General features: G+C 35.7%; 1 protein-coding gene across 13 annotated transcripts in view; it reads right to left on the reverse strand.

Moving 5' to 3' along the window:
- Positions 1,115-17,134, reverse strand: part of BRIP1 (BRCA1 interacting DNA helicase 1) — a 184,390-nt gene continuing 168,370 nt past the window's right edge. For 10 of the 13 annotated variants that reach the window (XM_047436893.1, XM_047436891.1, XM_011525333.4 and 7 more), the window contains 3 exons: positions 15,406-15,488; positions 7,812-8,141; positions 1,115-6,116 (listed from right to left, as the gene is read on the reverse strand). In XM_047436893.1, coding sequence (XP_047292849.1) covers positions 5,272-6,116; positions 7,812-8,141; positions 15,406-15,488 — 1,258 coding nt within the window. In that variant the 3' untranslated portion in view covers positions 1,115-5,271. Of the gene's footprint in view, positions 6,117-7,811; positions 8,142-15,405; positions 15,489-17,134 lie in introns of those variants that run through there. The other 3 variants (XM_047436901.1, XM_047436900.1, XM_011525340.4) reach the window with 1 other exon arrangement.

Below are 17,134 nucleotides of genomic sequence, written 5' to 3' on the forward strand. Positions count from 1 at the left end.
AAGACAATACTGCATCTAAAATAATAACAAACAGTACTAAATACTTTTAAAACTTTTCAACTATATGTGAATCATATATAAAAGATAATGGCACCTAGTTTACAGAAATGGTATGCCTCTTGTACAATTTTGTGTTTTATAATAGCAAGGAGCCAAATCAAACTTTAATATTGAATTCTATAAATATTAATGTAAAATATTTTCATGTGAAATGATGAAATTTTGGGGAAAGCGTTAAGATAATCAAAATAATATAAATTCCCGAATAAAGGAAGACTGAGCCAAGAAAATACAAAGTTATTATAAAATGTACTAAAATATCTATCTAATTATGCCTTGTTACACATTCCTTTTAATCAGTATTTACCATTGGGTTTTCAAAGGTTAATTTCTGGGAACAGTAAATTTCATATAGCTTTTGTTTTCTTTCCAATACATTGACGCTTGTTTATTACAGAGTGGAATTTGGTGTAAGATGGGTTGTTTTGGACCTGGTCCAAGAGGGTTTAGTTACTGAAAGCACCTCATTATAAGGTAGTCTTACCAATAAGGTGATCTGCTGGCTCAGATCCCATGTATATTATAACAAGGCTCCATTGTGGAGTACAGGAAGCCAGGCAGCTAATGGTTCTATCAAATGAAACTTAAGAAACAAAATTCTTTTTTTTTTTTTTTGAGACATGAAAATTGTTTAAGGCTAGAGGATCATAAGCCTTGGTCACTTTTCCAAATTTCTATTTCCTGATGTTCTTTATTGTATTTTTCATAGCTCTGCAGTTATTTTACGTTAAGGTTTTAGCTTTCTTACATTCATTGCTTGATCTGGTCTTAAAATTTTTTTTGATTATCATCAATACTATCTATTTACAAAAGATTAACTGCATTTACCTATGGAAATAGATAATAAACCACCAAGAATTCATAAAGGTTAAATTCTTGTGTAACTCATTGAGAAATCAGCGTTTAAAAGAGCATATGCGAGAATAATTGTGTGGTAATCAAATACAAAAGAATGCCATCACTTAGAGATGACCATGATAACCAGCCTTTCAAGTGATTTGACAACAGGTGCTTTGATTTCATGAAATTTTGTAAGCAGCCCTAAAGAATTAAATATTTTAAATGCGTTTTAATATAGGAAAGTAATACAAAAAAGTCCAGTTGCAGAAAAATAACGGGGAAAAGCTTTTTGTTAAAATTAATGTTTTGAATAGAAAGATCTTAACAACAAAGCCTTATAGAAACTTAGAAACAGTGCCAAATTTAAACCCATGTAATAACTAAGTGCATAGAAACATAGTAATAGTTTTATAACACAATTCTAGACAGTTTTAAATAATTTAATCAAGTCATGAAACATCTACTCTTTACATTGTACCTTTATTCCAAGAATAAAGCCCTGTCTCTAACTGGTAGTTTTCCTGGTTTGCAGCCTGTGTGCTCTATATACTTTCAGTCCTTGAATAAATTCAGTATTAGATAATTATTTCATATGCATTGAATGTGTCACATAAATTATTTGATAAACAATCTCTACCTTATACATCTCAAAAGCTTAAAAAATAAGCCAGCCAAATAATTTTTCTTTCCTCAAATCTTTATTGTCAGTCTATCACCTATATATCTATAGTTAGGGAAGCTTTCATATAGAGCAAGGGTGCACTCCAGATATATGATTCATCTACTAATTAATAATGAATAACTTGCAATGTGCCAGGTGCTCTTTTAAAAGCATTTAGATGTTTTAACTTATTTAAATCTGTAAACATTTCTTTTAAAAGTATGTTATCAGTAATGAAAATGGCCTACATCCTACTCTATAAAGGCCAGTAGTTTACTTCTTGGAATATCATCTTGGTCAGTCATGATCTGAGGAGAATATACACCTGTTTCAACAGTGATTATCATTGTATAAAATTTTTGAAACACCTTTTGGAATTACTAAAGGGTTGTGACACATCTCTATGTACATTCTCAGTAATGAAAATTTTTAACTTCAGGGAGAATTAAATTTTGGAAAGAATAAAAAATATCTAGGCCAGGCATGGTGGCTCACGCCTGTAATCCCAACACTTTGGGAGGCCGAGGTGGGCAGATCACTTGAGGTCAGGAGTTTGAGACCAGCCTGGCCAACATGGTGAAACCCTGTCGATACTTAAAAAAAAAAAAAAAAAAAAATTAGCTGGGTGCAGTGGTGTACACCTGTAATCCCAGCTACGCAGGAGGCTGAGACATGAGAATCGCTTTAACCTGCGAGGCAGAGGTTGCAGTGAGCCAAGATCGTGCCTTTGCACTCCAGCCTGAGCGACAGAGCAAGACTGTCTAAAACAAACAAACAAAAACATATCTAGCTAGGGAAAGGGGAAAGTATTGGAGATGAAGTTGGGTAATAACACTAAGATATGAATAATATGCTTAATTTTCTCATGTAGTTTACCAATTCTAAAGGTAATTTCTTTTTTTTTTTTTTTTTGAGACGGAGTCCCGCTCTGTCGCCCAGGCTGGAGTGCAGTGGCGCAATCTCGGCTCACTGCAAGCTCCACCTCCCGGGTTCACGCCATTCTCCTGCCTCAGCCTCCTGAGTAGCTGGGACTACAGGCGCCCGCCACCACGCCTGGCTAATTTTTTGTATTTTTAGTAGAGACGGGGTTTCACCGTGTTAACCAGGATGGTCTCGATCTCCTGACCTCGTGATCCGCCCGCCTCGGCCTCCCAAAGTGCTGGGATTACAGGCGTGAGCCACCGCGCCTGGCCCTAAAGGTAATTTTAAAAGTCCTCAAAATGTTTTAATTGTAGCATTGCGAAAATAAATATCTAGCTTTCCAAGTTATTATGCACATATACCATCTGTGTCAGTCTGTTCTCATGCTGCTAATAAAGTCATACCCAAGACTGGGTAATTTATAAAGGAAAGAGGTTTAATTGACTCACAGTTCTGCATGACTGAGGAGGCCTCAAGAAACTTACAATCATGGCGGAAGGCAACTTTTCACAGGGCAGCAGGAGAGAAGAATGAGAGTGAAGCAGGGAAAAGCTCCTTATAAAATCATCAGGTCTCATAAGAACTCAGTATCACGAGAACCGCATGAGGGTAACCGCCCCCACGATTCAATTACCTCCCACTGGGTCCTTCCCACAACACGTCGGGATTATGGGAACTACAATTCAAGATGAGATCTGGCTGGGGACATAGCCAAACCACGTCACCATCGTTCCCTAAATGTAAATGAGTAAGAGCCACTTTACTTTTTAAATGAAATAATATGCTTTATTTTAACCGTTCTGGAACAAAAGCAAATGAAAATCGACTCAGAATATCAACAGACATTCCTTTATAGATTCTCAAAGCACAAAGAAATTTGTATGATTTTATAGTACTAACCGCTGCATTTTACAGATGAAACTAATTCCCTGAAGGGTGTGGTGATTGCCAATATGACTTAGCAAATCAGTGGCAGAGCCAGGTGTAGAGCCCAAGTCTCTTGTCTTCTACCAGGTATTTATTCGTTTCACTACCCTACTATCCCTATCTGTGGTTTAAGAATAATACCAGAGGAGATAAATTGTTTCACCCTTTCAAAACAATGTAAAAATTACCTTCTAATCGAGTATTTGGTATTTACTGCTCAATGATCAACTAGAAAAAATATATAATACTAGATGGGATCTAATATATTCTAAATTCTTTAACTGGTAACTTGTCAATTTAAATGTCTTTGAACTACGCTTAGAGTTGTAACATCAAATGCTATAGAAACAGGCTGTAAAAATCTAAATGTCTCAAAATGGAAGCAAAGACATACCTATATAATGATTCATTTATCCAAATGAAATGTAAAGTAAATCCTTACTGGAAATTTTGACTTGAAAATAATAGACCATACAGAATTCTTGGATAGCTCATAAAATTTCAATTCAAATTACTCACAAAAAGTCCCAATGCCCAGTGAATAACAGATGTTTCTTAAAAAGAGATCAATGAATGTATTTTTGGAATGATGTCAGAGATGAGCCTCTTTTATAATCATTTTTGATTAGACATATAGCTTCATTCACAAAAACACAAACAAGGTCAAAATTCACAGAAAGGATTACTGTGCCCTAAGGAAACATATTTTAGCTGCAGCTATAAATGTGGGTTTGCTTATCAAATTTATATATGAAGTTTTCTATCTTAATCATTGTATAACTAAAGCTTATGCTAGAACAATACCAGAGGGGATAAATTGTTTCACCCTTTCTAAACAATGTAGAAATTACCTTCTAGTCTAGTGTTTGGTACTTATTACTCACTGATCCACTAGGAAAAATATATAATACTAAGCAGGATCTAGTATTTTTTTCCACAATGATGGTGAAGCTAAATAATTAGAATAGAAAATTTGGAATACTTCATTTGGCATTTTATATCTTTACGTCAATTTGTTTATGACATGTTTGGTTTTAGGTTTATTATACAAAGAATGTAAAACAATTTCAATTAAAAATGCATACTACTTTCTTAATTTCTCTTAATTACTTATAAGTAGGCAGTTTAATAACGAAATAAACCTTTCAAGACAAATGGTGATCTCTGAAAAAGTCTTGGACTGATTTGAGGTAAAATCTATAGCGAAATATGACTGAGGTGTCACTAGATTAGACTGCTGTTAATTTTTATGTATCAGTGTGAAAACAAATGGATGAAGAGAACCACCTAATATGAATATTTACGTGAAACTAGAAGTGCCCTAGGATCTTTGAATAATTTTAAATTGCATTTAGCTAAGGAAGACTTATTTGAGGACAGTACTTTGTATGAATTACTTTATCAAAACTCAAGAATGGGCCAGGCACTGTGGCTCACACCTGTAATCCCAGCAACTTAGGGAGGCAGAGAAGGGCAGATCACGAGGCCAGGAGTTCGAGACCAGCCTGGCCAACATGGTGAAACCCCATCTCTACTAAAAATACAAAAACTAGCTGGGCATGGTGGTGCACACCTGTAGTCCCAGCTACTCAGAAGGCTGAGGCAGGAGAATCACTTGAACCTGGAGGTGAAGGTTGCAGTGAGCCCAGAGCACACCACTGCATTCCAGCCTGGGCAACAGACCAAGACTCTGTCTCAAAAAAAAAAACCCAAAAACTCAAGAATAATAACATTTACATTTCTGAACATAAAATAGTTTTTTAAAAAGTATGCCACTTATTCAATTTACAAATTATTACTTACAACAGAGTTTAACATAAGCATGATGACATATTTTTACTTAGCTTGAGAGTTAAGTATTATTACTTAAAACCAGGAAACATGCCTTTATTTTTGGAAGGAGATGGTTTAAAGTTCTTTATTTCTATTTCATGAGTTTTTCCCAGTTCCAGTTCATTTATCCAAGTTGTTTTTACATTACCATCAATGTCATCAATTTTACTTTCTTCAATATGCAGAATTCCATTCAACTTTGTATCTATGCAATCCTCAGCTTTCACTTCTCTGGCTGAATCTACTTCTTTTATAGTTCTAATTTCAAAAAGGTCTTTAGCTAAAATGCAATCTGAATTGTTAGCCAATCTATTTCCTCTATCAGTTTCAGCTAGGTCATTTTTTTCTTCATCTGTATCTTCAGGATCATAAAGTTCAGGTGTAAAATAGATAGATTCATCTTCTGCTTCTGTTTCAAAATCTCTATTTGAAGTGGACTGTTTATCTTCTTCACTTACTAGAGACAATTCAATGTCTGGATCCAGGGCTTCTTCAGAACAGAGCGGATGTTCAGAATGATTTTTTCTAGTAAGGGTGGCATCAATCTTTAATGATGAAATAATGGTTTCTGATTGAGGGCATGATCCAAACGATGTGTTTACTGTCAGATTTGAGGATTCACATTTATCAGTGAAGGGCAAAACAGTTTTACTTTCCATCTTCTCTGTTTTGAAACGGGGAGGACTAGAGGCACTATTCTCTGATGACCCGAGCTCAGGTGTTGCCTTCGGTATTTTACCAGTAAAATACTGTCCCAAAGAATTAAAGCTTGACCAGCTAACTCTCTTTGTTTGTTTGTTGAAAGTTGGGCTTGTGGATCTGGAAATCACAATTTTTTCTGCTTTCCCTGCTTCTTCCAGGAATACTGGATCATCTAAGAATACAAGAATTTAAGAGATTTAACTTTCTGCTCCTAGCTAACATAATTGCTAGGTTAAAATAATTATTTATTAGAAATACCTAAATAACTGTATAGGATACATAACTTAGAGCCCCCAACGAATACTAGTGGATTTTCATCTTGGAACAGAATATTAACTCTGAAAGAAATCTTAGGTCTCTAATGTTTCCTAGCCCAAGTTATAATGCTGTCTGGTAAACTATCAAATTCCACAGCAGGGAGCTCAAGAATGAATGAGGAAAGAAGGGGTAAAAGGGAAGAGGAAGGGAGCTGAGGAAAGGAGGGAACAGGCTGTAAACATTTGCCTTGAAAATCCACTAACCAGTGACTGAGAAAAACTTACCTAGACTAATTCTTTTATTTAATAAATAAGGAAAGTGACATAAGGCTAAGTTATTTGCTCAAAGTTATAAAACTGGTTAGTAAGAAGACCAAGACTAGAAACTAGGTTTCCTGATTACCAAGTTAATCGGCTTGAATTCACTATTTATAGTGAATTTTGTATTACTATTTTGTAGTATTTATATACAAAATTGTATTACTATTTTGTAGTACTTATATACTACAAAATACATGTTTAAAAATTGATGTTTTTCTTTTTTTTAGTCCGAGTTTTGCTTTTGTTGCCCAGGCTGGAGTGCAATGGCGCAATCCTGGCTCACTGCAACCTCCACCTCCCAGTTCAAGCAATTCTCCTGCCTCAGCCTCCTGAGTAGCTGGGATTACAGACAGCTGCCTCCACACCCAGCTAATTTTTGTATTTTTTTAGTAGAGACGGTGTTTCACCACACTGGTCAGGCTGGTCTCGGACTCCTGACCTCGGATGATCCACCCGCCTTGGATATATGAATTAAAACAACTGAAATTATATCCAATGGAATAGACCAGAGTTTGGCAAACCTTTTCTGTCATAGGCCAGATAGTAATATTTAGGCTTTGTGGAGCATAATGTATCTGTTGCGACTACTCAATTATGCTGTTCTAGTGCAATACACACAAATACTCAACTCTGCTGTTGTTTCTAAAATGTAAATAAATGGGCATGACTACATTTCATTAAACTTTATTTACAAAAACAGGCAGCAGGCCAAATTTGGCCCATGGGCCACAGTTTGCCAATCTGATACAGATGATTATTTCAAAATATTTTAAAATATTATTTTTCATCACTTAAAATAAATGTCTCTCACCTCCTAAAAATAAGTTCATAAGAACTATCTATATAGGAAAAGTAGTTCATATAGAAGTATCTACATAAAAATTAGGCCAAATTTTTATATAGCCTTTAGAATAACATCTACCACTTACATGGTACTTTACAATGCTGTGATATTTATAATTTTGACCTTTACAACCCAACCTGAAGGGATAGCTAGGCAGGCATTTTTTTTTTCCTATTACGACTCAAAAAGGACAAATGACTTGCTCATGATCACAAAGCTAGTAAGTGGCAAAGCCAGTTAGTGGAAAACCAGAAAATATGCTCTGGTCTCCTGACAAAAGTTTGTTCCCATTACAGTACACCATACTGTTTCACTATTTTATGATAACACCTTATATTACAAACCACCATATTTAAGGAATTAATCTATACCCAAATAAATATCATTTCACTAAATATAATGAAAGACTTCTCTATCAAAGGTAAATGGGAAGAACTTTTCATACTTTTCTCCTTTCTGGAGATAATGCTACTTGGTAGAGGTGAATTTTTGGTAATAATTTTAGGACACTGTAGTTCCTGGACACATATCTTTGCTTCATCTTCCACAAAATTTTCTGGTGATAGATGACTTGCTGCTTCCAGTAAATAAGGTGAGGTACTGTACTTTAAAGAGGTCACTTCAAGTGTAGACTCATTGTCCTGTATATTGGTTCTGTCCTTTATGGATACATTAAGAACTTTTTGATGCTTTTTGGAAAATTCAGCCAAGGATTCCAGTGCACTTTCAAAGGTTGAATGGTGCTGAATCTGCTGCCGTACCCATTTAGAAAGTCCTAAAGAAAAAGGTAAACCCAGGGAAAATTTGGTTACTTAGTTATTAAAATATTACATGCTAAGGTAATACACTTGCTTTTTCTAGTGAAGTAACCTAATTTGTATTTTGAATATACAGAATGGTTCTCCATATGTTTTTTCTGCAATTCAGCAATTTTACTACATATGTATCAGTAACATATGAGTAACATTCTCTTTATATACAGTAATTGTCAAATGGAGAGAGCAAAGAGGCAGTAGAAGTAGGGCAGAGATGGGAAAACATATTCTCTGGTTAAGAATAACTGGTGAACATGGCAAATTTAATTTCATCATAATTCCCCACAAAAATTGCCTTTTTTTTTTGTAGGGAAACTAGAAGTTGTAAACAATACAACTTTCCATTCTAATATTCTAAATTTTACTCCTTTTGCAAAAATAATTTCAAGATTCTAGTCTCAAGTTTTTTTGTTCCCTTCCTCCACCAATTCCAAATATATCTTAAATTAAAATTATTCTGGAGGTGAAATAAATAACACTGTCTTATGGGTAAATCACATCCCTTCTGAATTTTTATGATATAATTATTTTTAATATATAATCAAGTTATAAAGGATATGATTTGACCTGTGACATAAAAACTGCACAAAAATGAAACCTAAGAGTTTAAGGTGTTTTCTAGTATGGTGTGCTTCCAAATGAAATGCAAAATCAGGTATTTGGACTTTTACAAAATAAATATTCCCTGCTAACACTACTAAAACTAGCATCATCTTTTGGAGGAATTAGTTTTAAAAGTCACTATAGGGTAAAAATTTAAGTTCTAGATTTTAAAACTAAAAAAATTTTAAATAAGCCATTTCCCTTGAAGTTTTTTATTTTGTTCATTTGGGGAATATGATTAGACCATAAAAATATGTGAAATTCTCTAAAATTGAAAATTTTTAGGCTGAGTGTGGTGGCTCACATGTATAATCCCAGCATTTGGGGAGGCTGAGGTGGGAAGATTGCTTGAGGCCAGGAGTTCAAGGTTTCAGTGAACTATGATCACGTCACTGCACTCCAGCCTGGGCAACAGAGTAAGACCTGTCTCTAAAAAAGAAATAAGTAAATAAAAATAAGAATTTTAGTACTATATTTACCTCTTCATTTCAACCTTTTTATAATCAAAGAAAGCCTTTTCAATGTAAAATATCATTGTCTGCTTTTGAAAACTTGAAAGAATCTGAGCTCCACCTGCTGACTAGACACCAGCACTTAGCATTTTTGCCTTTAGTTACTGTTTGACCTATGCTACTGCACACTTTACGTGGAAAGGGAAGATAAAACAAATAAAGCAATATTTTCTGCTTTATGTTTTAATATCAAACCAAATACAGTCATTAAGCTCTGAAATTGAAAAGGTAGAGTCTACACCCACACATGGCTAATCTAAAACAAAATTTAACATCTCTTTATTATAATAAAATGTATTTTTTTTTTAGCTAAAAGGTAATAATAAAGATACACATGTATCCCATAGCTCTTTAGTAATCACTCCTGGTATTGACTCTGAAAACTGTTTACTGTTGGATGAAACCATCGAGTGAGAAAAAAATGATACTACTGCCTGCATCAAAGCGGTAGGAAAATTTGTGGCACCCTCTTGTCATGATCCCCACTTCAGAATATACCTGGCTGCTTCTTCCTGGGGAGAAAAGAGAAAACTGGACCTTATGTCTTTTTCTGGGAGGCTGCCCCAGGGACTGGCTTCTATCTTACCTGTACTGAAGAGCTGACATGAGCTGGCATACCCTACATGCCCAGGGGCCACTAAGAACAAAAGCGCTGTGCAGCAAGTTTCTGCTCCACAGGAACCACAGTGCAACAGAGGCCCATATAGTTTGATGGCCACTCCCTCAGGGGGACAGAAAAGCCTGGAGTGTGCATCCAACATCTTGGCTTTTCAAGGAGCTGTCTAGGGACTCGTTTCTGTCTTGCTTGTCATAGAGTACTGACTGGACCTAGCATACTCTGTATGCCTGGAATCTACTAAGAACAAAAGAGAGTCAGGCGTGATGGCTCATGCCTGTAATCCCAGCACTTAGGGAGGCCGAGGCAGGCAGATGACTTGAGCCCAGAGCCCAGGAGTTTGAGACCAGCGTGGACAACATGGTGAAACCCCATCTCTACAAAAAATACAAGAATTAACTGGGTATAGTGGTGTACACCTGTGGTCCCAGTTACTTGGGAGACTGAGGTGGGAGAATCCCTTGAACCCAGGAAGCCGAGGCTGCAATGAGCTGAGATTGTACCACTGCACTCCAACATGGGCGACAGAGTGAGACCTTGACCAAAACAAAAAAAAACCAAGCAAATATTTCTAATAAGGAATTTACAGAGAAGTCCAAAGAAGACAGATCCACGGAAAAGGTTTGAGAGGCTCCCAGAATGCCTACCAGGGCTGATGAGTGAAGGTCTTTCCCTGTACAAAACCAGTTAGTAAACACTGTGAGAGGTGGCTGTTTTTTCAAATGTGTGGATACCATACAAGGTTACAAGAAACATAAAGAAACAGGAAAAAATAACCCTGTCAAAGGAACAAAATAAGTCTCCAGAAACCAACCCTTAAAAAAAAAAAAAAGCTATATGAATTACCTGGCAAGGAATTTAAAATAACTGTCAACATGATGCTCACAAGTTCAAGAAAATAATATAGAAAAAAAGGAGAATTTCAACAATGATAAAGAATACAAAAAAGAACTAAAGAGATTTTGGAGCTAAAAAATGCAATAACTGGACTGAAAAATTCACTACAGGGGTTCATCAGCAGACTTGATCAAGCAGAAGGAAGAATCAGGAAATTTATTTTATTTTACTTTATTTTATATATTTTATATTCTGTTATGTTATGTTATGTTATGTTATGTTATTTTTTTGAGACAGTCTCGCTCTGTCGCCCAGGCTGGAGTGCAGTGGCGCCATCTCGGCTCACTGAAACCTCCGCCTCCCTGATTCAAGCGATTCTCCTGCCTCGGCCTCTCAAGTAGCTGGGACTACAGGCATGTACCACCACACCCGGCTAATTGTCGTATTTTTAGTAGAGGTGGGGTTTCACCACGTTGGCCAGGCTGGTCTTGAACTCCTGACCTCAAGTGATCCACCTTCCTCAGCCTCCCAAAGTGCTAAGAATCAGGAAATTTGAAGGCAAGTCGTTTGAAATCATCCAGTCAGGGAAGCAAAAAGTAAAAAACAAAATGGAAAAAAAAAAGTGAAGGCTTATGGCTTCATTTATGACTTGACTTATGGGGCACCGTCAAGCTGACCAATATACACATTCTGGGAGTCCTAGAAAGAGAAAGAGAGAAAGGAGCAGAAAGCTTATTTATAGAAATAATGACCGAAAACTTAATAAACCTGGGGGGAGGAAAATGACATCCAAATACATGAAGCCCAGTGAACCTGAACAGGATGAACCCAAAAGTCTGTACCAAAACACTTTATAATCAAAGTGTCAAAAGTCAAAGAAAACAATAGAAATTTGAAAACAGCAAGATAAAAGCAACTTGTCATATACAAATGAAGTCCCATAAGACAGTCACTAGGCCGGGCATGAAGGCTCATGCCTATAATCCCAACACTTTGGGAGGCAGAGGTAGGAGAATTGCTTGAGCCGAGGAGTTTGAGATTAGCCTGGGCAACATAGTGAGACCCCATCTCTACAAAAAAAATTAAAAATTAGCCAGGTCTGGTGGTGCATGCCTGTAGTCCCAGCTGAGGCTGAGGTGGGAGGATCACTTGAGCCTGGGAGGCTGAGGCTGCAGTGAGTCATGATCATGCCACTGGACTCCTGCCTGGGTGGCAGAGTAACATCCTGTCTCCAAAAAGAGAAAGATTTCTCAGGCGACATCTTGCATGCTGTAAGGAAGTGGGATGACATGTTTGAAGTGCTGAAAGAAAAAAACCTGCCAGTGAAGGATATTATATCTGGTAAAGCCATCTATCAAAATGAATAGGAGGTAAAAACTTTTCCAGATAAGCAAAAGCTGAGGGACTTCACCACTAAACGTGCCTTACAAGATATGCTAAAGGAAGCCTGCTAAACAGCAACACAAAAGCATAAAGTTTGCTCGTGAAGTTAAAAGTGTACACAAATACAGAATACTTTAATATAACAACAGTGATACATAAATAATGTTTAATTCTATACAGAAGTTAAAAGACAAAGTATGAAAATAACTATAATAGTATGTTAGTGGATACACTATATAAAAGGGTATAATTTGTGACTTTAATAATAAAATGTGATGGGAAAAGTAAAAGTGTAGAGTTTATACAACTGAAATGAATTTGTTAGCTGAAAATATTGTTATAACTATGTTTCATGTAAGACCCATGTAACCACAAAGGAAATATCTATAGAAGGTATACAAAAGAAAAATGAGAAAGGAATCAAAGCATTTTTCTTCAAAAAATTAAAAAATGAAAAGCTTTTAAGACCAGCAACAAAGCAAGGATGTTCATTCTCACTACTTCTATTTAGCTTAGTACTAAGAATCCTAGCCAGACTATTAGGCAAGAAAATGAAATAAAAGGAATCCAAATTGAAAAAGAATAAAGTGAAATGATCTCTCTTTGCAGATGACATGATCTTTTATGTGGAAAACCCTAAAGATTGAAAAAAAACCTGTTAGGACTAATAAATCCAGTAAAGTTGCAGAATACAAAAATCAATGTACAACAATCACTTGCAATTCTATACACTAAAAACAACCAAAAGAGGAATGTAAGAAAACAATCCCATTTATAATAGTATGAATGAAGCTGGAAACCATCATTCTCAGCACACTACCGCAAGGACAGAAAACCAAACATGGCATGTTCTCACTCATAGGTGAGAACTGAACAATGAGAACACTTGGACACAGGAAGGGGGACATCACACACCGGGGCCTGTTGTGGGGTGGGGGGAGAGGGGGGAGGGATAGCATTAGGAGATATACCTAATGTAAACGACAAGTTAATGGGTGCAGCACACTAACATGGGACATGTATACATATGTAACAAACCTGCACGTTGTGCACATGTACCCTAGAACTTAAAGTATAATAATAAAAATAAAAATTAAAATAAAAAAACTCAAACCAGGGAAAAAAAATAGCATCAAAAATAATAAAATACCTAGGAATAAACAACTAAGGAGGCAAAAAACCTGTACACTGGAAATTATAAAACATTGCTGAAAAACAGTAAAGATAACACAAATAAATGGAAAGATATCCCATGTTCACAGATTGGAACACCTAATATTGTCAGAATGTCCATACTACTGAAAGCAATCTTTTTTTGAGACAGAATCTTGCTCTGTTGCCCAGGCTAGAGTGCAGTGGCGCGGTCTTGGCTCACTGCAACCTCCGCCTCCCAGGTTCAAGCCATTCTCCTGCCTCAGCCTCCAGAATAGTTGAGATTACAGGCACCCGCCACCGCACCCGGCTAATTTTTGTATTTTTAATAGAGATGGGGTTTCACCATGTTGGCCAGGCTGGTCTCAAACTCCTGACCTCGTGATCCACCTGCCTTGGCCTCCCAAAACACTGGGATTACAGGCGTGAGCCACCATGCCCGGCTGCAATCTAAATTCATATGGAACCACAAAGGACCACAAATAGGCAAAAGAACCTTGAGAAAAATGATAAAAGCTGCAGGCATCATACCTCCCGATTATAAAATACATTACACAGCTGTAGTAGTCAAAAAAGTATGGTACTGGCATAAAGAGAACCATATAAGCCAATGGAACATAATAGAGAGCTCAGAAGCAGATCCACACATATATGGTCAGCGGATCTTCAACAGGGTGTCATTGGGGATTGATATGCTTTGGTTATTTGTTTCCTCCAAAGCTCATGTTGAAATGTGTTCCCCCATGTCATAGGTGGGGCCTAGTGGGAGGTATGTGGGTCATGGGGACAGAACCCTCATGAAAGCCTTGGTGCTATGATTGTAGACTTTCTGAGGTCCTCATTAGAAGCAGATGCTGATGCCATGATTCTTGTGCAGCCTGCAGAACCATAAGCCAAATAAATCTCTTATCTTTATAAATTATCCAGTCTTGGTATTGGCAATGATTGTTTGGATATGACACCAAAAACACAGGCAATAAAAGCAAAATTAGACAAGGAAGACCATGTTAAACTAAAAAACTTCTGTGCAGCAAAGTAAATAATCAGCAGAGTCAAAAGGCAGCCTATAGAATGGGAGAAAATAATTTGCAACGCATATATCTGATAAAGAGTTAATCCCCAAAATATATAAGAAACTCCTATATCTCAATAGAAAAAACAAACAAAAAAACACACCAAAAACCAAACCAAAAAAACAGATATGCAAAGAAATCCAAATAACCCAATTAAAAAATGAGCAAATGAAAAGATGTTTCTCCAAAGAAGACATATGATTTGGCCAACAGGTATAGAAAAGATGCTTAACATCCCTATTCATCAGAGAAATGCAAATCAAATCCACACTGTGCTATCACATTATACCTGCTAGGAGAGCCATTATGAAATTTTAAAAAGAAAAAGAAGAAAAAAGGAAATAAGCATTAGGGAGGATATGGAGAAACTGGAACCCTTGTGTGCTATTGGTGGGAATGTTAAATGGTGCAGTTGCTATGAAGAACAGTATCAAATCAAAAAATTAAACTTAGAACTATGATGATTCGCCAAATCCTACGCTTGGTATTTGTTCAAAAAAATTGAAATCAGCATCTTGAAGAGATATCTGCATTCCCATGTCCATTGCAGCATTGTTCCCAATATCCATGAGGGGGAAACAACCTAAATGTCTACTGACAGATGAATGGATAAAGAAAATATGGTATAATGTATACATAAAATAAAATATTAAGCAGTCATTGAAAAGAAGGAAATCCTGCAACATAGATGAACCTTGAGGACATTATGCTAACTGAAATAAGCCAGTTACAGAAGGACAAATACTGCATAATTCAATTTATATGAGGTATCCAAAACAGTCAAACTAATAGAAGCAGAAAGTATAGCGGTGGTTGTCAGTGGACAGGGGGGAGAGGGACATGGGGCATTGCTGTTCAGTTGGTGTTAAGTTTCAGTTATGTAAGATTTAAAAGTTCTAGATATCTGCTGTGAAATACTGTGCTTATAGTTAACAATATTGTACTGTGCACTTAATAAGATAGTAGAGCTCATGTTATGTGTTTTTCACCACAATAAAAATATGAAGATTGTTACTAGTTTTTACTCTAAGCCCAGCTGAGATCTTACCAGATATATAGCGACTTGGGTTATTCCTAAAGCGATCATCCACTAGAATAAGAGCTCCCCAATCATTTCTGTGTCTAATACATCTAGAAAAAATAGGGAAAAAGTCAAATAATTATAACATCGGAAATAAATCCAGTTTTCCAGTGGGACAGACAGAAAATTGGAAAAAAATCAATTTTATAGATTCCTTTAAACAATTTGTTATTATCAGAAAAGTTACAGAAGCTATCCAACACAATGTAACAAACTAGATGTATTAAAAATTCCCTACTTTTTCCAAATACAGATAACTTGCATCCAAAATGTTGTATTTTATTTTGCACTCAAGAAAATTATAGAAAATATATTCTAAGATCTTTCTTAGCCACATAGACTGTTTTCTTTTTTTTACCTTAAGTATTATAAATAATTGTAAAGGTCCTTTTTACTAGTTTGATGAGAGTTTTAAATCATGAATAAACATTTAATTTTGTCAAAAATATTCTAAAATTCAATTGACATAACATGTAGTTTTTCTTCTTTTGACTGTTAATATGGTAGATTACACTGGTTCATTTTCAAACACTGAATCATCCTTGCATTCCTAGTCATGGTGTATTATTCTTTTTATAGATTGTTGGATTCAATTTGCTAGTTTAAAAAAACACATTAAAAATAAAAACATACTTTTTAATAATTATTAAACAATTTTAAAGTGCACAATGCAATGGTTTGTGGTATATTTACAAGGCTGTATAACCTATACCACTTATCTATCCCAGAACATTTTCACCACCCCAAAAAGAAACCCTGTGCCCACTAATTGTTACTCCAAATTATCCCAATTATTCCCCATTACCTCTGGCAACCACTAATCTTTCTGTCCTTAGAGAGTTGCCAATTCTGGACATTTCATTTAACGGGAATCAGACAATATGTAGCATTTTGTATCTGGCATATTTCACTGAACATGATGTTTTCAAGATTCACTCATATTGTATCATTTCTCAGTACTTCATTTATAAGTTAATGTTTCCACTTTTTGGCTAGTATGAATAATGCTGCTATTAAACATTTGGGTACAAGTTTTTATATGAATACATGTTTTTTATTCTCTTGGGCATACACCTAGAAGTGGAATTGGGGAGTCATATAGTAATTCTATGTTTAACTTTTTCAAACACTGCCATACTGTTTTCCAAAGCAGCTGCACATTTTACATTCCCACCACCTACGTACAAGGGTTCCAAAATCTCCACATCCTCACCATCATTTGTTATTGTATACCCTTCTAAAAATATATCTACCCTAGAAAGTGTGAAATAATATTTCATTATGGCTTTGATTTGCATTTCCCTAACAACCAATGATGTTGAACATCATTTTTTACGTGCTTACTGGCCATTTGTGTATCCTTTTTTGGAGAAGTCTGTTCAAATTATTGGTCCATTTTTAATGGCCCATTTTGTCTTTTTATTATTAAGTTGTAAGAGTTCTTTATATATTCTGGATACTAGATCCTGCTACACATGATTTACAAATATTTTCTCCATATGTGAGTTGTCTTTTCCATTTCTTGATACTGTCCTTTGAAGAATAAAAATTTGAACTGTAACAAAGTCCAATTTATCTGCTTTTTCTTTGGTTGCTTGTGCTTCTGATAGCAGATCTAAGAAACTATTGCCTAATACAAGGTCAAGAAAATTTATACCTCTGTTTTTGCCTTTTTCTGTCTTTGATCCACTTTGAG

The sequence above is a fragment of the Homo sapiens genome, chromosome 17 (genome assembly GCF_000001405.40).
Source record: "Homo sapiens chromosome 17, GRCh38.p14 Primary Assembly".
Taxonomy (NCBI): Eukaryota; Metazoa; Chordata; class Mammalia; order Primates; family Hominidae; genus Homo; species Homo sapiens.